This window comes from Homo sapiens, chromosome 5, assembly GCF_000001405.40.
Source record: "Homo sapiens chromosome 5, GRCh38.p14 Primary Assembly".
In the NCBI taxonomy this organism is placed as follows: Eukaryota; Metazoa; Chordata; class Mammalia; order Primates; family Hominidae; genus Homo; species Homo sapiens.
Genome location: NC_000005.10, coordinates 135,302,773 through 135,323,485, shown reverse-complemented (window position 1 = coordinate 135,323,485; position 20,713 = coordinate 135,302,773). Strand labels below are relative to the sequence as shown.

Genomic DNA, 20,713 nt, shown 5'->3' with positions numbered 1-20,713 from the left:
GCTCAGGGCACCCCAGAGGGCATTCTCGTGCCAAGCCTTGTCCTGGAACAGTCCCTAAGGACATCGTCTGCCCACTTGCCACCCTGTCAAGGTCAAGGGAACCCAGATTTTATGACTGAGACCCAACACGTGCTCCAGGGTTGGGTTTGCATACATCTGCACACAGCTTTCCGTTCAGTCATTGGTACTGAGCACAGTACCAATGTGCTATGTGCCAGGCACAAATGAGTGATGCCAACGGCAGCCTCCACCGATTGGGCACTTGGTGGGTATTAGCTCAGTGGTTCAGAAAGGACACATCAGAGTCAGTTCCTGGGTTTTGAGTCCCAGCTCTGTCACTTGCTACTATGACCTTGGATGTCATATAGCTTCTCTGAATCTATAACTTATCTATGCAATAGGAGCAATAATTACCCCACACACACATATACACAACCACCGTGAGACTGTTGCGTAGATTAAATGGCACGGTATATGTGCGCAGCATATAGTAAGTACTCAGTGAATGGTCATGTGGAACTCTAACAAACCTGTGATTAAGAAATAGGAAATGCCATTATCCCTTTCTTGAGAATGAAGGAGTTGAGGTTTAGAAGGTTAAATGACTTACTGAAGGTCACACAGGGACAAGGAGACGCAACTGAGCTTGGGTCCCAGTCCTCTCAGACTCTAAAGCCCACAACCTTAAACGCTGTCATGCAAAACACTCCAGGCTTGAGAAGCAATGCAGGTCCCTCGATAAGTGAGAAAAGTTCAGTGTCAATAAACTTACAATCATCAAATCTACAAAGTGATTATTTTAATTTCAGCGTCACAGTTCAGTGTTGGTTGTCTGGGGTTGGCAATAGTGGGGATGGTAGGAGTAGTACTACAATGTTTTTGATGCTTAGAGGAGTCTAGGGCCAATTTTTTATCGGATGCAGATCAACTGGACATGGCTCCTGAGAGGCCAGGCCACCAGAAGGTCTCTGACTGGCCGTGCACCCAGGGAGGGGTGGAGAGGGAAGCATTGCAGGCAGATGTCAAGGCTGCCCAGTGACTCCTCACAGAGCTGTCATCGCTCTGCCACATCCTGGTCCGGAATTCTCTGTGAAACTGAGATCTCTTTGCAAATTTTAAGGACTGTCTGCTGAGCCTTTTTGTGGAATTTTTTGGGACTCTTCATGAAAGAGTTTCTCCTTACCCCTGAATGCATCAAGAAGTCCTCAGTGTTAACGTATAAAGCTAGGACTGGGATTATGTTCCAGCCTGGAATTAACCAGTTGTACAAGTCAGAAATGGATGGATCCATGGAGAACAACTGCGGAGCAGGTAGGGAAACTGAGGCCCAGGGTGCAGAGGGACTTGCTCCACAGCCCATCACCGACACTTGTCAGCACCGGGAGACAGGTGTCACAGTCTCGTTTGGCTTTCTGTCTGTGCCTCTTTTATAACAGCCTTGAAATGCCCAAATCCCATGGCAATTGTCTGGGCTAAATTCCTCTGGATGAAGAGGTGATTTGTTTTTCTTAAGTTGTTCAAAGGTCTGGGGATGTGTGGATCCATGGGTTCTGGGAGGAGGCCCACTATGAGCAAAGGCTGGTCTGTTCATGGAAGATTCCCAACCCCCTTAACAAAGCAGAACACCAAAGTTGATTGTCCCTGGCCACCCTGCCCCCGTGTCCATCACCACAGCCTAACAGTCCCTCTCAACAAAGTCAGTTGCCGATCACACGCTCTCTTCTTAAAGCTGTGGATGAAGGTGTTGGTTTAGTGCTGGCTCTCTGAGTACAACAAAGCCAAAAGGTATTTCTGAAAAAAGCTCACACATCCCACCACTGTTTTGGCTTTCTATACAGGGACAAAAGTAGAGTGAATTCTCCTTCCTGTTCCCTGATGTTGCTCAGAAGCCATTTTCTGGCTGGCAGTCAGCCTTCTGGGAGCCCCAGCTCTCCAGAGCACAGCCACGGGGCCAGAAATTGTTGAGAAATGCAGCCAAATGGAGAGAAATCACTCACAATGCTCACAATCGTGATTCCATAGGAAAGAAGGGGCACCTTCCCACAGCGGTGACGCGGACATTGTCCCCGTGAACTGTATCCCTCTGTTTGCTCCATGCGCTGTCAGGTGTAATTCCAAAGGAGACAGATGCTGAGGCACTGCAGGTGGTTGGGCAGCCAGCTGGCAGCAAGAGGGGGACCAGGCCTCCACAGAAAGAGCACTTAGGAACAGTGGCCTGGGTACGGCAGCGGGGCCTGGAGGGAGGCAGCTCTGGTGCGTGTCAAGGACTGGGCTCTGCTGTTTTTCTCCTCTAACCTATCCTTGGGTCTTCATGACTGTACTAGTTTCCTGCTGCTGCTGTGACAAATTGCCACAAAATTCGTGGCTTAAAACAACACAAAATATCTCATCACTCTGGAGGTCAGAAGTCCACGATAGGCCCCACTCTACTAAAAATCAAGGCGTCAGCAGTGCTGTGCTCTCCTGGAGGCTCTAGGAGAATCTGTTTCCTCACCTCTTTCACCTTCTGGAGGCAGCTCACATTCTTTGGCTCATGGCCCCTGCCCCCATCTTCAAAGCCAGCCGTGGAGCATCTTCAGACGTCTCCCTCTCTCACTCCACTGTCATCATGTTTCCTTCTCTGACTCTGACACCCCATCAAGGGGAGGACATTGGGCCCAGCTGGAAAGTCCAGGATACTCTCCCGCTTCAAGGTCCTTCACTTAATCACATCTGCAAAGTCCCTTTGCCATGGAAGGGATCACAGGCACAGATTCTGAGGATTAGGATGTGGACATCTTTAGGATGATGACATCCTCATAGGTCCTTGGGGCATAAGTGCGCCTCACACCACCAGAAAGATGGATGAAGTGTCGTCATCAGGAAAGGTAATGGGATCTATGCACTCTGTTCTCAGAGAGAAGGAAATCCAGTAGATGAGGCTCTGCTTTCCCCATTCTTTCTCCCAGCATTGTCCACCCTTGGAAGGAGCATCCTGTGCCCTCAGGATGACTGGGACTGCGAGGGCACCTGCTGGCCAAGGGAGCACAGAGCCCCTCTCCTGTGGCTGGATTAGTCCCAAGGCCAGCTGGGCCCTTCTCCCTTGCAGGGGTTAGGGCTCAGGCCCTGTACCTCTTAACCTGTGTCTTCTCACAGCAGGTGGCCATGCCTCACTCCAATCTTTCATAGCACCCGCCTGACAAAGCTCAAACACGGGCTCCAGCCTCCTGCTTTTCAAGTTAGTTCTCAACACTGCAAATTCCTGGTGGGGGTGAAATATGAGTGCAGCAGAGCCACAGGCAGTCCAGTGGGGCAGGCTCTAGGCTCTCCCCAGGGCAGCGAGGGGACACAGCAGTGCTGGCTCTGAAGTCCACTCCTGCTTCCGCCGCTGTTTGGCTGTGCCACCGTGGGCAGTGGGCCTGGGCTCTCCAGATGCAGTTTCCTCAGCTGGGAAGTGGGGGTGTTCATGGTCTCCTCCCACAGGCCTACCATGAAAACGCAAGGAGGGGGAAGATGGCAAAATAGAGCAGGGGATGAACAGTGAGCCTTCAGGATGGTGAGTGGTGGCACTTGTTTCACTTTTAAATCCTGAGATTTTGGCACACAGTGCATCCTCGTTGCATATTTGCTATTATATTTGAAACATTTTTCGTTTGCATTTTGAGGTGCCCTGTCCCAGATGAACCGTGGCGTGGGTAGCCAAGAAACCCGACCATGCCTTCCAGAAAGCGGGCATGGTGAGAAGACCATACATTGGGCTTCCCTCTGCCCCTCAATTCCAGGTCCCTGCATCTGCCCCACTGTGGGCACTGAAGGGGACAGATGCCCTATCACACCTGCCCTGGGGGTTCCTCCCACAGACAATCTTGCTGCTGCTCTCCACCTGTTCTTCATATGCGCAGACTAGGGTAGTCATTCCCAGCTGGCAGGTCAAGCATCAATCTGCAAAATTTGCATGGGATGGAGTTGGTGTGGACATTCTGAGCCTTCTTGTCAGGGACCTCCTTAGGGCCTCAGGTGCCTTCATTAACCACATGGAGCATCAATGATGGATCGCCCGCACTCCTCCCTGGCTGAGCCCACAAGACCCAACATGATCAGAATCCCAGGCACAGTGCAACCCAGAGGATGAACATCTACCCTTTTCCACACATGGGGCATGCAGGCTTTCTAGGGCCCCTCAGGGGCCCTAGAGTGCCTGCCTTCTCTTTAGATTTCTGTCCTCAGCATCAGCCTCCTCCACAGCCTTCATTTAGGAAAAGCCCTTGCAACCCAACTCACATTTAGGCACAGGCACATAAGCACAGCCACCACAGCCTCCCAGGAGGACTTGGACATGGGCAGGCCAGGGCAGACCACCCCCAGCTGAGTGGGGAGCAGGGGACTCACTTGCCAGGGATATGAAGAAGTTATAGGAAGGGGCCTGCCCCCTTCAAGCCCCCTGCTCCCAAAGCTGGAGGGCCATCACTTGGCCAGGCTGTAACTCACAGTCTGAATTACTAGTTCTTTCATCTGAGCTCCCTTCCATCGCTCAGACCAGAGCCAACAGAACCCAGCACCATGGACTCTAGGAGGCCTTTCAAAACCAGCAACGACAGGTAGCATTTGTTAATTCCTTATCATGTGTCAAGCACTGAGCTACAGGCCCTACCACAACAAGGGAAGAACCATGACCCTCATTCTCACAGGTAGGGAAGCTGAGGCTTTGAGCATTTAAGGGACCTGCCCAAGTTCATATGGGCAAGCAACAGAACCAGGGCTTGAATCCAGGTCTGTGTGACTCTGAAGTCCCTCCCCGCCCCCCCCTTTTTTTTTTTTTTTTTTCTTGAGACGGAGTTTCGCTCTTGTTGCCCAGGCTGCAGTGCAATGCTGTGATCTTGGCTCACTGCAACCTCTGCCTCCCAGGTTCAAGCGATTCTCCTGTCTCAGCCTCCTGAATAGCTGGGATTACAGGCACCCGCCACTATGCCCAGCTAATTTTTTTGGTATTTTTAGTAGAGATGGGGTTTCACCATGTTGGCCAGGCTGGTCTTGAACTCCTGACCTCAGGCGATCTGCCCACCTCAGCCTCCCCAAGTGCTGGGATTACTGGTGTGAGCCACCACACCCAGGCAAGTCCACTTTCTTAATCACTACACTCCTCTCCCTGCCCTGGCACTTCCCCATCGAAACAGAATCCCATCCAGAGGTCCCAGCTTCAAGTCTGCTGCACTGAGAAAGTCTTTCTGAACCTAACTCAGCACACTGCATCCAGCAGCTGGGCCACCAGACCATTCCAGGGCCCGAGCAGAGCACCCGGCCCTGCCAGCCCAGGAAAGTGAGGCTGACACAGAATAAGGGCCCCTCTAGTCCCTGAGGCTGGAAGTAAAACCAGTTGTCAGGCTGCTCTGATCAGCTTCCTTTCCTCCTCTGCCACGAACATTGCTGGAGCCTTTCCTCCAGTGATGGGGACATCCTAGTATCAACAGAAGTGACCAAGCAGTGGAACAGGCTGCATGCGGCAGAGAGTAGTGCTTGGGGAAAAAGATGGAAATGGGGCTTTCATCATGGAAAAGGTATAAGCGGACACTGCTGGTGCAGGAGAAGATTTAAGTCCAAACTATGTGATGAACCCACTGGGATCCTTGGGAATGAATTCTGATTTAAAACAAAAGCTGAGGAGCCCAGGGCCCCAAAAGATCTTGCTGGTGAGCATTTGGGAGTCACTCAACAAAATAGCCACCAACACCCACACCCACCTGTCCCTCAATGTCTTGCATCCACACTCTAGTCACCAGAGGCTCCAGATCCTGACCTTAAAGACCACAATGCCTCGGTACCCCTCCAGTCCTAACCACACCACACAGCCCTTTGCCTGTGTGTACTGCATCCCACACCCTCATTTTAAAAGATTTACTCTTTGTGTCATTTGAGTGTCTACTACTGTCATGAAAAGGGAAGAGGAGAAATTCTGTCAAGGCCCACCCCAGCTGACATCCACAGTCAGCTTGCACATGCCACACTCAGAGCCGTGGCTGTGCAGGGTTGTCTGCCTGTCCAAGGGTCGTTCTGTCTGCGCTGCCAGCCACATAGCCTGGCCCAGCCCGTTATGCCTTGCCATGCCTTGTTTTCTGAAGAAACACAGGGCAGTGAAGAGAGGGTGGACCTCAGAGCCAGGCAAACCTGGCTTCTCAGTTCAGCCACCTACTAACCTTGTGGCTTTTTCTACAGCACTTGCCATTTTTAAGACTCAGTTTCCTCATTTGTAAACACTTCAAAAGGCTGCTGTTTCAATACAATTATATGAATAGGCAAGACACTAACATAGGGTCTTGCACACAGCAGATGCATTTAAAATGCATGAATTACTAGGTTCTTTCATCTGAGCCTCCCTCTTGCACGCAAGATGTAATTCATGCACCTTTTGTTTATATGTCCTGTCCTCTCTCTGACAATAGCCTCCATAAAGAGAAACTGGGTCTTTTCTTCCTCTGGATGGCCCCTGGGCTGAGTCCAGGGCTGTGTCCTAGAGGCTTCTTGAGAAACAGTGCATACTGTGTGCCAGGAAGAGTGAGGTCAGGGTGCTGTGCAACGGAGACCTGCTCCTGACAATGTAGCAGACCACCCTCCCACCATAACAGCCAGAAATGCTGGATAAGACATAATAAACATAACTTTACATGTAAGACTCAGCTGAAAAAGAAAAGAAAAAAGGACAGGTGTGGAAATCCACAGTGCTAAAAGCTGCAGCTGAGGCCAGAGTTGCATGAGCACGGCAGCCATGACTGTGTCACCTCCATGATCTGCCAAGCCCAACTCAATATGCCAAAAGCCAGACCCACCATTCTTTGGAGCCATCCATCGTGCATGCACTCACACAGTCTCTCACATGTGCTCAACTTAATTCTAGGTATTTGGGGCTCTTTAGGCTTCCACAGGAGCCATTTTGTCCTGTTAAATCAATCTACCAGGTATGACCTTAATCTAATCAGAGGTTTTAAGGTTTTACCAAAGTTGTGTGATGGCCATATCTGCAATCTGATTTTTGTTCTGAGACAATGTCTTAATGGCTATGCTTTAATTTCGTCTTTGACCTATGGCTATATCTTAATGGCTACACCCTGAATTTGGTGAGGAAACAGTTCCATTCTGCAACTGCAAAAGTCTAAGAACTTCAGGACTGTCAATTCTGTTTGCAAACCAGCCAGTTCTTTACTGAGTTCATTTCTTTCTTGTAGCACCTTATAAAATGCAACCAATAACAACTGACCCATACAAAAAAAAAAGCCTCGGACTCCCACTTTCTATTGGCAGAAGGTAGGCTGAGAAAGGTACTCAGCCACTCTAGGGAGGGTATATTTTTAATGCTTTTTTTTCTGGAAGTCGACAAGGAACATGGTGGAAAGGAAGGAACTCCCAGAGGGTGAAACCAGGAGCCAGTGGATCTGGGAGCTGTTCCCAGAGAGCAGAAGCAGGACCTAATCCAGGAATATTGTCTAACCCCAGGGTAGGAAGACCTCACGGTATTTTCCCCAAAGGAAGAATCTGCTGTGAACCCCTGTTCTGTGCTTCCTGCTTGTCCCCCTTTCAAATGGGACAGTTGTGGCTACTCTGTCCCAGCTCTTCAACTGTATATTGTGGTTTTTTGGTGGGTGAACTGGGGGCAAATACTTGTCTCTAGTTCATGGGCCTCTGGGTGAATAGGAACTGATGGAGACAAGACTTCCAGCCTGATGCTGTGATTGGATTGGAAATTTTTGAACCATCTGGGGAGGAAGTAAGTACATTTTGCTTGAGGGAGGGAAGTGAATATTTGTGATAAAGATGACAGGCTGAGGTAGATTGTATTATTGCTCAGCAAATAATCCCCAACTGACTCCATGGCTGAAGTGGACTTCTCACCCCCTTATTTGGAGCTTTGCCACGTGACTTTCTTCAGCCAATGGAGTGTGAGTGGCCATGATATGTGCAGAAGTTAAATGTACTTCTGTGGTTTGTCTTGGCCCTATAAGGCCTGAGAATTCACCCAGGTAACTGTGCCCCTGCAGCCTGGGTCCTGGAAGGAGAGCCAGGTGGATCAGACCTGAACCAAGTGGCTCTGGATGGAGCAGAGCCTCCAGGGCCAACCCACGAACCTGTGAGCAAAAAGTAATTGTTTTTGTTGTATTTGGTTGTATTCCTCTCAAAAATTTACTGTAAGATAGACTGAAAAAGTTTATTATATATCTAATCAGATTTCCCAAAGATAATAGGAGGAGGACGAAGAATTAAAGAGATGATGGCAGATACTTTTCCAGAATTGGTAAAAGTTGTTAACCCTCGGGTTTTGGAAGCCAACAAATTCCAAGTAGGAAAAGTAAAATAAAAATAAATAAATAAATATTTTTTAAAAATCACACTTAGACATATTGTAGTGAAACCGTAAAGCTCTGAAGACAAAGAGAAGACCTGAACGGTTGCCAGGAAGGATGAAACATATCTCCTGCCTGCATGAGTTCCGTGCCTGAGGGGCTGCACATGGGAACAAACACCTACACCCTTTATTGAGGAGATTTGCCAGGCAGGTGGCTTTATGGGTGTTATGTTATCTGGAAGAAACCTTGGAAGGCCTCTAATCTGGCCCCCTCAATGAGAGATGAGGACACTGGGTTCAAAAAGGGAGAGAGGAAATGTCTGCATCTGTTGTCCCATTTTCTTGGCAGATATGAGACTTGAGGCCACAACACCCACCTCCCAGCCTGTGTTTCCTATCACAGAGGCTGAATGTTCCTGGGCCTGGCCCAGGTGGTCACACAGAGAACAGGTGCTTCTCCAAGCCATGTGACAGGGTCTAAGAAGGCAAGGAGAGCCCTCTAAGACCCTGATGCATGGGTTGTGTAAGCAGACCCTCCTTGACTCATGATAGATGTGCCTTGGAAGAAACTGCCTTCAACGTGATAGCTGGCATTTGGGGCCTCTCCTGGCACTACACACCCCCAGTACCCTTCCCAAGAGAGCGCACAGTCCAAACCAAAACCAATCCCTGCCAAGAAAAGGCATGCCCAACCCTATTCAAAAAGTCCCCAGCTAGCCACTCATCCATCTTGGAATGACCCTCTCAATGCAGACACAGCATAATCTCTCTCTTATTCCCCACCTTGCCGAGGTTGTTCTAAGGAGAGTAGCCGACAGAAACAGCACATAAAAATGAGCCCAGGAACAAAATCCCCAACTCCAGAAAGATGAACATCTATTTGTGGGTGGTGGACCCAACTTCCTGGGATAGCTTCCCACAGCCCAGGGCCATCTGCCATGTCCCATAGGCCCAAAGGTGTCAGTGCAATGGGGTCTCCATAGACAACAGTTGTCTCGGGAATCTGTTCCCACACCTTCCTCCTGGGCCCCGAGAAGAAAGGACAGACACAGCTGCAGGTTTTACCATGGCCCAGCCAACATGGGATACCAGATGCAAATGAAGAGGCTGTGGAATGTGTGGACTGGCAAGTGAAGAAACAGCATTTGTCTCTGAGCAGAAGCTGCTGGGCCTGGAGGTGTGACTTGAGGCCATTACTCAGCTCAGTGACAACCAAGGGTTTCCATACTTTCATTGAAGAATCATCTGGCTAGTGTTTCACTAGATGGCACCCCTGGAATCACCTCACAAGTGGCTACTTATGGAGAATTCACTCCGTGGACAGACTTGGACCATCCATTCACACTTGGTCAACTCCTGGGCTCCTGTGTTGGCTAGAGGGTGTGAATTCTCACATTAACCTGCTGAAGTTAATGCAGAAGAAGCACCTCCAAGAAAAGAAACTGAAAGTCCCCCTAAACCAAATGTGGTTACAAGTTGATAACATGGAATGCAACTCTCAGGCAATCTTACCTCTTCAGGATGTTTTAGGGGCCAAGAAACAGGCCACAAGGTCTTTGAATAGCCCAAAAAACTGTCACAACTTCCATGCACTGAAAGCTCATTCCTCTTCCTCACAAGACACCTCCGTGAGAGCCAGTGATGCTTCCTCTAGCAAGCGGGTGCAGACAGGAGCAGCGGTGAGAAGGTGAGCAGGACTACCTGCAGGTGGACACCGACACCAGCAGAACACAACAGCTGCCAACTGGAGCAAAGGCATGCAGGACCATCCAAACAGATGAAAAGCAACTTTTAAAACGTGGCCTGCCACCATTCCAGGCAGGGACAGTGCCACATATCTAAGCTCTGAATTATAGCACACAACAGGGCCTGGCACATCATAACATGCAAATATGTTTAACTTTTTAATTGGAAACAACTGTAATTAATTTTGCCTGAATTAATGATTATTACTATGACTGCCAAATAGAGACCTTTCTAACCACATCGTTCCTTCCACATTGATCAGTTGGCATTCTACAATGAAAAGGAGCTTCTCTTCATCCACATTTATTTATCCAAGTGTGGGCTCATGGACTGCTGTTTAATGGGTTTTACTCCATCACCATATTGTACATTTTGATGTTCAAATGTCCCAGTTTGGGCCAACGGGAGCCCCTTCAAACTGTTTCCATGTCCTTTTGACATGTCTGCATCCTTCTTTGAGCACTTCTTTACTCTCTGGCATAATGCAGTGCTCCTGGCCTATCTTGTACTTTTCCTGTCCCAGTCCTGGAATCAACCGTTTCTCCAAAGTCCTGGTGTCCTTAGCAGAAAATGACATTAGAAACCATCATTGGAGCAACTAGGTATGCTATTTGTTGTATAAGTGTCATTGCTTCTAGGCCTGCCTGCTCTGTCGAAAGAGCTCAGAAGTATGCGCGCGCGCGCGCGTGTGTGTGTGTGTGTGTGACATAATGATATTTTAGTCAATGACAGACCACATATATAAAGATGGTCCCATAATATCATAATACCATGTTTTTACTGTACTTTTTCTATGTTTAGATACAGAAATACTTACCATTGTGTTACAGTTGTCTGCAGCATTCCGTGCAGTAACATGCTACACAGGTTTGTTCCTAGTGCTACAGGCCATACCACATAGCCTGGGTAGTAGGCTGTACTATCTAGGTTTGTGTGAGTACACTCTGATGTTCACACAGCAATGGAATTGCCTGATGACACATTTCTCAGAGCATCTCCCTGAAGTTAAGCAACACATGTGTGTGCATATATGTGTGTGTATATGTATATCATACATTTACATCTACACTTATTTCTATACCTACATTGAAAACCATGAGTTTACATCAATACCTCCAATAACACTGGGTTCATTTCTAACTTTCCCACTTCCATATCTATAACTCTTGTTTTCTAACAATGAGAGAACTGGTCTGTTATCCTCAGTATGTTTACTTATCTGGTCAATCCTCCTATATGTAACCAAGTTCTTGGACCCATCAGGCTGCCACCCACTCAGTTACTTTCCTCACATGGCATTCAACCTCTGCCAGGCCCTATTCCCTGTTTGGCTTGCATAAATGCTTTTCTTTTTAAAAATAATTTGAACAAATTATAAATTACCATAAAATTAACTCACTTTTTAGTATATGATTCAAAGATTTTCAAGTGAATTTATAGAGTTGTGTAACCTCCACCACAATTCAGTTTTAGGTACTTCCATCATCCTCAACAAACTTCCCAGTGTCCATTTGCAGCCAGTTCCCATCCCCAGGCAACCCTGATCTGCCTCTTCTAGAAATTTTATATAAAGGGAATTATATGCCTTTTTGGCATATGACTGACTTCACTCAGCATAATGTTTTTGAAGTTCATCCATGTTGTAACATGTATAAGTAGTTCATTCTCATTGCTACATTATATTTCATTTCATGGATATATCACACTTTGTTTAGCCATTTACCAATCGATAGACTGGATTTGGATTATTGCAAGCTTGGGGCTACTGTGTATAATGCCACTATGAACATTTACGTACAGGTCTTTGTGTAGGCACGTATTTTCGTTTATCTTGAGTAGTGCTGTAGGCAGAATAATGGGCTCCCAGAGATGTCCAGGTTGCTAATCAGCTGACCTTAAGAAAGCAAGATTATCCTGGATTATCTGGGCAGGCCTTGTATAATCACAAGAGTCCTTAAAAGTGGAAGAGCCAGAAGAGGAGGTCAGAGTGAAACAATGTGAGACGGACTCAATATGCTGCTGCTGGCTTTGAAGATGAAGGTTATGAGTCGAGGAATTGTGGGCAAGCTCTGAAAGCTGGAAAAGGGAAGGAAAAATATTCTCCCTAAAGCCTAGGGAAAGGAACGTAGCCCTGCCAACACCTTGATTTTAGCCCAGTGAGATCCTTTTGGACTCTAACCTCCAAAAGTGTAAGATAATAAATTTGCATTGTTTTAAACCACTAAGTTTGTGGTAATTTGTTACAGCAACGATAGAAAACCAATACAGGTAGATACCTAAAAGTGTATATTGGTTGGATAGTAAATTTATGTTTAACTTTTTAAGAATCAGCCAAGCTGTTTTTCAAAGTGGTTGTGCCATTTTATATTTGTATGAAATGTATGATCTTGCTCAGTTTCTAGAGCCTTTCAGGTGATTTTTACTGATTTTCTCCAGTTTTATCATTGCTTTTGGGGGAGAGGATTTTTCAAACTTCTCATTCCACCATACCAGAACCCAATGATTTTTTGATTAAATTATCTACAGAAAAGAGGAGGAAAAGAGGGAGGAAGCGGGGAAAGGTCAAATGTTTGTGTTGACTTACTGGCAATACTGGAGGGCAACAGATTTCAAGGGTTCAATCACCTGCCCGTGTCTTATTAGCTGTATGACCCTGGCTGGGCAAGTTGCCCCACTTCGGCGAGACTGTTTCCTCACTATAAAATAGTACTGGCAATTATAGGATCTGCCTCCTAGGTTTGTGATGAGGATTAGATAATACAGTCAAAGTACATAGTCAGTGCTTGGCCCCTAAGAGCTCTCAACTGTTGACAATGTTTTTAATGGTAAGGGCAACAAGAACAGGTTAAATTTTGTAATATCCTGTTCTATTTAAGTAAAAGATGTGTAATTGGAAAAACCACAGAGTATGCGTTCCTAGAAATGTAAACAGCTGTCTTGCCTGGCATATTTTTCAACTCACTCATTCACTTCAGGCACCTAAAATCTAACTACAGAATTTTACAAGTCATCTGTTGCCAATGACTATCCATACACCACCATGTCCTTCCATCAATAACAACCCTATACAATTGTATATGATTTATACTTTTTAAACATCTTTTCAGTATATATTTTCACAAGGTCTTCATCCCAGTGGATAGATAAACCAAGAATTCTCTCATTTGACAGATTAAGGAAACTGAGGACCAGAGGTGTCAAGTGATTCACTCGAGGTTCTACAGCAAGGAGGTGGCAGAGCTGCTTCCATTTCCTCCTCTTCATTGCATGTCACTGGTTTCTGCCCACGGGCATGGTTTCCTCCTCTCTCTCACTGACATCATTCATGTTTGTTCATTGAATGTGGAAAAGATTAGCTTTCATCCAATTCAAAGATGCTAATAACACACTTAATGTCTATGAACACATACTGATTTTATTATAATCCTGCTCCTCTTGCTGGAAGCAGCCATGCCTGGCTTGGTGGAGATTCAAGACTCACCATTACAAAGAGTAAGCTATGCTTAGGTTAAATTGGCGTTTGTTCTGAGCCCAGTGGCATTTTTAATGCATTTATAAAAATGGAAATGAGTCAAGGTACCCAAGGCCGATTAAACAGGCAAGTCAAACACCCAAAGAGCCCACAGCAAAGGCTTTGCCTGCAGATTCACAGCCCTGCCAACAGCTCCCATGCTCAGTCCTTCCGAAGGGCTCGCCTCCCAGCACAAAGCCCTATCAGGCCTGCCATCTTAGACAAATCTTCACAATGGCCTTACAGCTTCAGTCCTGTCCCTCTCACATTTCACAGATGAGGAAGCAGAGACTCAGAGAGGTTAACTGACTTCCTAAGACACACAGCTGGCAAGTGGAGTCAGGTCTCAAAATTCTTTGAACTTCTCATGCTGCTCCCGTGTTCACTGATAAAGAGACCCCCTCCTCCTGCCCATTCCTTGCTAAGCCCCCTCTGATCCAAAGAGCACAGTGTACAGGCTAAATAAGTGTATAGTACAAGAGAAGGGGTGTGCAGAACCATTTCAGCCACCACCCAAGGCCATCTCTGTGCAGCCTCTGCCCTCCCCAGGTTCATGTACAAGGTTAATTTCTGATTTGACGCCCTTGAAACAAAGAAGACTTGGAGATAGAAGACACTGGGTACAGAGGAGCAATGCCTCAGGGTCTCATGAACTTGTCAGTTTTACTATTGCTATTATCGTTTTTTGTTCTCATATGGTTTTTGGGTTTGCTGCTCTGGGAAAAGCTAATCCATTAAATGAGCGATGCCTCGTTCTCTTGAATCAAGTGTTTCACTTTGTAGAGGGCACGGAGAACAAGAAAGTAATGTGGAATTATACTAGATCCTGTTTAAAATCCAGGATAGATGAGTCAGAAAATGAAGAGCCACGTGTCTCCTCTGTCTCCTCGTCCTCTCTCGCATGCACACATATACATGACCAAAGTTCACATTCCAGCCCTGAAGGATGTTTTCTCAAGGCCCCTCTCCAAGCTGTTCCAAAAGCCTGAGAAGGCAGTCCCTGCATTCAAGCCTGTCCTGCACTGACAGCCCGCCTGGACACTGCAATAGCTTAGTGGCAAGGGCTGCACCTGCATGACCTCAGATGCCAGTGAGGGCCAGGGAGCATCCCCCACTCATCTTCCAGAAAACCTGGAGAGACAGGCCACATATGCAGCTCTCCCTTGTGGCCTTGGAGTGAGACCATTGAGATCACCTGGCCTCCAGGGCTGCTCCCCACATTCCCCAGGGTTAGGACAAGTTGGGGATATGGAAAAGGGGAACAGACGAGACACCCCAACCCTATTTTAGAAGGAAGGTTATTCACATTCATTCATTCAGCCCCAGCCAGGGCTGGCAGACAGCGTACTAGGAGCTGGTAACTATCACTGGCACAGCACTTCGTGGTTTCCAAAACTACTTATTTCCCACACGTTCTCTCTGGTGACTCACACAGGGCTCCTATTGCCAGACAGGGTAAATGTCATGCCCGTTTTACAGATGAGCACACTGATGTCCAGAAGTGACTTGCCCAGATCACAGGGCAAGGGAGTAGCAAAGCCAGGCTAGGAACCCAGAACACAGATGTGCAGGCAGGCCATGCAGGCCACACCGCCCAAGGCTTCAGAGCCGTCGGGGTCCTCTTGTGGCAGGAAAAGTGGGCTGAAGAGTGACACATCAGAAATGTTTTGGCCTCCACCTCAATTCCAGAGATGGTGGAGGTCAACATACACCTCCCTGCCTGTCCCGTCAGCACTGGGACGATCCTTTCACCAGCCAATCCCCACCCCACGTTCCCTGCACCTAACTGTTCTCATCTTTAAATGCACACATCATGAGTGGCTTCCTCATGAGAGCGCCACAGGAATTGAGAAGGATAAAGCCCACGTGGGTCTCTTCGCCATGCCAGGCACAGGGTGAAGCGCTCCCTAGACATCAGCTCAATGTATTATGATTGCTCCTCAGTGTCCAGCCTGGGCACACCATCAGGGCTCAGCACCTTCACCTGGATTGACCAGGGCCCCCAGGTCAGTAGGTTGGTGTCTTCCCTGCCCTGGCCCCCCAGGAGAGAGGAGGGCAGTGGAGGGAGGGAAGGAGGGAGAGGAGGCATCCGGCAGGGCCCTGGGCCACCTCGTGGCCAGGCATTCCCGCTCCTCGCCTTTGTCTGCACCCCTGTAACTGAGAGGCCTGTCTAGACTGAGCGGCTACTAGAAGTAATCCAGGGAAAATCTCCCTGAAACCCGATCCCTCCCCTTATCGAGGGGCAGGCAGATTAGCCTGATTGATTGAACAATGGACGCCGAGGCTTTAACACGATCTCCATGTGGCTCCCGTGCAGAAGAGGCTCTGGGCAGATGCAGGGCCTGCCTAGTGGAGGAACCTGTCCTGTGGGGTCAGCATCATCGGCCTCCCAGGCTGCTGGAGGGAGAGAGCTGAGAGGACCCACTGCTACCAGGGCGACACTAGAATCCTGACCACCACTTGCACCATGTAGGGGCTGCTTTCCCTGCACAATCCAGGTCCTTGGTTGGGCTTACGTGCTCCACATTGTGAGTGCCTGTCGTCTTCGTCATCGTCATCATCGTCATCACTACTGCTATTTCACAGGTAAAGGCACTGCGCCTAAGCAACTTGCTCAAGGTCACACAAGAAGAAAACGGTACAATCTAGAGTCGGCGCTGGTCTGTTTGACACTGAGGCCTCAACCCTTGCCCGCCCTCACATCCTGCCTCCTTGGTGTTCAGACTGTTGTGGTCAGTGTGACACAAGCCCTGGCCATTGTTCCAGATGACCCTCCAATATCCGTCAGCAAAGCAGTCCTCAATACCACCATAGGTGTAGAAATGCTCTGCAAGCCACACACACCTGGCAGCCAGCAGCAAGGCCAAAGGGCATCATTCTCTTTTGTTTTTATCTAAACCACCATGATTGGGAACTAACCTATAAACAAAGGCAAGGCTGTCCCTAGCTGCCTGCACCGAGAGCCTTCCAGAGTGTGATGTCCAAAGAGAAGGCAAGGATACTGTCACACATGGGGACCATCAGGTCAAGAATAAAAGGGTCATCCTGGCCACAATCCGTGGGTCCCCACAGGGCTGGCTGCAGGGAAGCCCCATTGGTACCTTCTGTAATCCATGTGCTCTGGGACAGCTTGCAGGCAGGGAAGGCAGAAAAGGCAGGGAGGGGATGGATGGATGGATGGATGGATGGATGGATGGATGGATGGACGGACGGACGGACGGACGGACGGACGGACCAGTCACAGCCCGGCCCATGCCCAGCACAGATGAGGCTAGCAGAGGGCAGTCCATGGCAGGAGCACTCAAGTGGGCCACACCTGACTTCCACATACCTCCACCAGTCACCTGTGACCCTGGGACAGTCACCTACCCTGTCTGAGCCACATCAGCTTCATTTTACAAACAAAATACTAGCCACCCACCCCTACCCTGCTCTCCCAGGATAGATAGAAATTAAATGAACCAACCTGCACCCTAAATGTAGGTTAACCTCCTTCCATGGCAACAGACTCAACTCCCTAAGAGTAGAGGCCCCACCCAGAAACTTTTGTTAAAACTCAGAATTGACGTAACTTACCAATGAAATGTAACTGTCTGATAGCAACAAGGCAGGAAAGTCACGTTTGACTGTCCTTGGAGTGCTGATCCAAGGTGGTGCATGCCAGGCAGCCCTTCAACACTGCCCACAGCACAGGGCTAGGGAAGCCTCTCTACCTCGGGCACCACCTGTGTGGCTCTGCAACGCTGAGCAGTGTCTGCTAACAAGAGGGCTGTGGCACATAGGCCTCATTCCACAGATGAGGAAACTGAGGCCCAGGAATATTTCATCAAGGAAATAACATAGATTTCCCCTTAGCTCTTAGCAAAAGGGTTTCCATGGAAGCATTATCAGCTCATTAACTAGAGTGAGTAACACTGATCCCCCAATAATACCACTTTGAGATTCGTTTGCAACCTGAACAGCCAGCTGGGGTCCTAATTCATTTCAGCAAATGACATTCAGTGCATGTCTGTCCTTGTGATCTCGGGTTGGATAATCCCTGCACTTCTGGTTTCCTGTTGGCCAGGTAACACCTGTGCTCCCCAGCAACACCCTCCCCACCCTCTCACTGTGCCCCACACAGATCTATGTCTGCCACCCTCCTTGCCACCCCACAACCATTCTTGTATCTTACTCCAGCTAGACCCTCAGCCCAGGACCTGGCCCCATTCCACCTTTGGGATTGCAGTCCCTTGGGTCCTTTTTTCTACTGCCTCAGGCAGCCAGCCTACCCACTTTGGAAGACACCTGCCCACTGGGCCAGAGAGCAACACCTTCATCTCAAATAATGGGCCAATTTCTTCCTGTGACTTTATTATCAGGCAGGGAATGGCCACTAAGGCCAGCCCTCCCTTAGGGATGAGGCCCATGCCAACTGGGGAAGGGGTCTGGGATAGTCCTGACACTGGCATGATACCAGGCAGGACATGACCACAAGGAACTCTGGGTGCTAAGGACAAAGGGGACACAAAGGTAGGTGTTTCCATGCAATTCAGTGTGCATGCCAGCCCCTACGTGGGCAGCAGGGGTGGGGAGACAGCCAAGATCCAACTCCTGCCCTCTGGAACCCCATCCAACCCAGGCTTAGCATGCTGAGGGTCGGGAGGGGCTGGTAGCTGAGATGTAATTTTGGGGGGTTGCTCCCTAGAAGTGGGGCCTCTGGGTTCTGCTTTGAGAGACAGGCAGGAGGTCTGGGGCACAGGTATCCCAGGAGAAGGCAAGATGTGAGGGAGGAAAAGGCACAACTCAGTGGGACTTCCTGGGGGAAGGACATGCCGGGCTCAGATCACAGGTAAACTGTGCACCATGGGAAAGGAGAAGCCACTGAAGATGCAGAGCAGGGCTGAGTTCTCCAGAGACCATTCTGGGGGCAGAGGAACAGGTGGATGGAGCACGCAGGCAGAAAGAGAACGGCAGTAATCGGGCATCACAGCAGTTCAGGCCGCAGAGGGCTCCAGGCTCTTTACCTTTTACAAGCTGTGTGACCTTGGGCAGATTACTTAACCTTTCTGAGCTTTGGTCTCCTCCTGGGTCAAATGGAGACTAAAACAGCAGGGCTGTCATGAGGATTGAACCTGATAATGCATGAAAAGCATTTAGCATGGTGCCTGGCACACAGTAAATGCTCAATAAATGTTTGCTTAAAAAACAAAAAGGCAAAGGCTGACTTCTTAGAGCCTCCTCCCTCCCTCAATCTCCCCAATCAATAAAAGCAGCCCTTTTATCTAAATCCCCGGGACCAAAGGGAAACCAAACACAGCAGCTGCTGCTCAGCCTCCCAAGACCTGCACCCCGCCTGCCCGCGCTTCTCCTGCTGGGGGCCCACCACTGCAGCTGTGGCCAAGGAAAGAATGCTGGCGCAGTGACCTGGCCGTGAACCTTCCCCCCAGCCTCCAAACATGCACAAAAGCATTTCGTCTACCTAAGCAACACAGGCACCACCCAGCCCAGCTCACCCTGCCCCACTGGGGAGCCCATGGAACCAGGGTGATCTGTGCAGGATTACACACCTGCCTGGGTTTGCTGCCTCAGACCAACTCTGGGACGCAAGAAAGAAAAAATGAAAGAAAAATGTGTTCTTAATATTCATGACTCTGGTGGTATTTTTGAGCACAGCGCTGAGTTCCTCCGTAAAGAGAGAAATTCAATCCAGCATAAAACATGCTTGATAGAGGAGGGGGTAACACAAGCTCCTGAAACCCTGAGAACGGTTTGTTGGTCTTTTCACAAGAAAACTGTGGGATCTTCCAGGTGGACCAAGAGTTTGGGAGGCACACACTCTGCAAAATTATCGGGGAAACAGATCAGCCCAGACTCTCAGGAACTTCAGAGACAAGTCCTGCTGGCTGCTGTTCTTGGTGATGTGGCAGTGGCCTGCTCCCTCGCATGGTCCTCGGTGGCTTGTAAACCATGGAAACATGCAGGCAATCTGCCATGGGCAAACACAAGCAAGATGGCATTTCACATCTGACAAGAGGGGGACTATTTCTTTGGCCATAGTTGGGTCACAATTTACTTCCTATAGTGCGATGTAGCAGAAAGATCATGGGTTTGGGGGTGGGTAAGACCCCAGGTTTGAATCCTATTTCACAACTTAAACACCACATTGCTTACCCAATCTGACCCTCAGCCACAGGTAAAACATGGAGAAAATGGGAGCTACCAGTGAGGCCTCTTCTGAGGGTAAAATTAAATGTGATTATGCTCATAAAGTACTGAGCCCTGTGCCTGGCCCATCACTGGCACTCCGTAAGTATCTGTCCCCTTCCCTCAACAAGTGTCCATGTGGGAACAAAGCACATCTACACGCCCCCACACCAAAGTGGGTCAGTGAATCAATTCTCTAGATAAGGCAAAATAATTTTTCAATGACCACCACTAGATAATTGAAATAAGGGATTTTTTCCCCATGGAAATTATCTAAATAAGTCTCAAGTTTCTTGTGGCTGCAATAGACATGGACTGATAAACAAGGGACTTATTCGCCCTGGATGAAAATCTAACCCCTGGTCATATTTCCAGAAGACAGAAGGACAACCTTACCTTTTCAGAAACTGGGATAAAAATGCAATTCCCAATCTCACAATAATTGTTTAGTACAAAGAACCAAGCTAGAGAATCCCTGGGGAGATACAAAATTCATATTAAGATAGTAGAAATTAAAAGTCCTAATGAATGTGACTTTACTTTTTGACTTCACCTTAAAAAGAAGCTTTTGAAAATTGATTTGTATTTTCCATGTTTAAGTGAGAATACCTACGATGAGAGTAGGAGGGTCTAAAATCAGAATTTCTAAATTAGACCCTGATTCTTGTTACTTAGTGAAACTTTCTGTCCACCGAAGGGTTTGGTTGGCATCTTCTTTTAAACTTTATTGGGGCACAATTTACTTAAAGTAAAATGTACCCATTTTGAGTGTACAGGTTGTGGAATATTGACAAGACCAACCTAGCACAGGCAAGATCTAGAACAGAGCTCCCTAAAATATTCCCTCATGCTCCTTTGCAGTCAAATCCCCTCCCCCAGCCAATAGTTTTGTTTGTTCTGAAATGACATATATATGAAATTTTGCAAGGTCTACAGTAGTCCCACTTACTTAGGAGGGA

General features: G+C 48.2%; 1 long non-coding RNA gene across 1 annotated transcript in view, besides 1 other annotated feature; it reads right to left on the bottom strand.

Annotated features, from left to right (window-relative positions):
- Positions 1 to 20,713, bottom strand: part of PITX1-AS1 (PITX1 antisense RNA 1) — a 311,407-nt gene that overhangs the window by 21,195 nt on the left and 269,499 nt on the right. The window lies entirely within an intron of this gene.
- Positions 9,661 to 9,861: a silencer, noted in NCBI's record as "peak5478 fragment used in MPRA reporter construct". NCBI's record gives its function as "represses an SCP1 promoter by STARR-seq MPRAs in K562 erythroleukemia cells {active_cell/tissue: K562}" and the evidence as "EXISTENCE:reporter gene assay evidence [ECO:0000049][PMID:32103011]".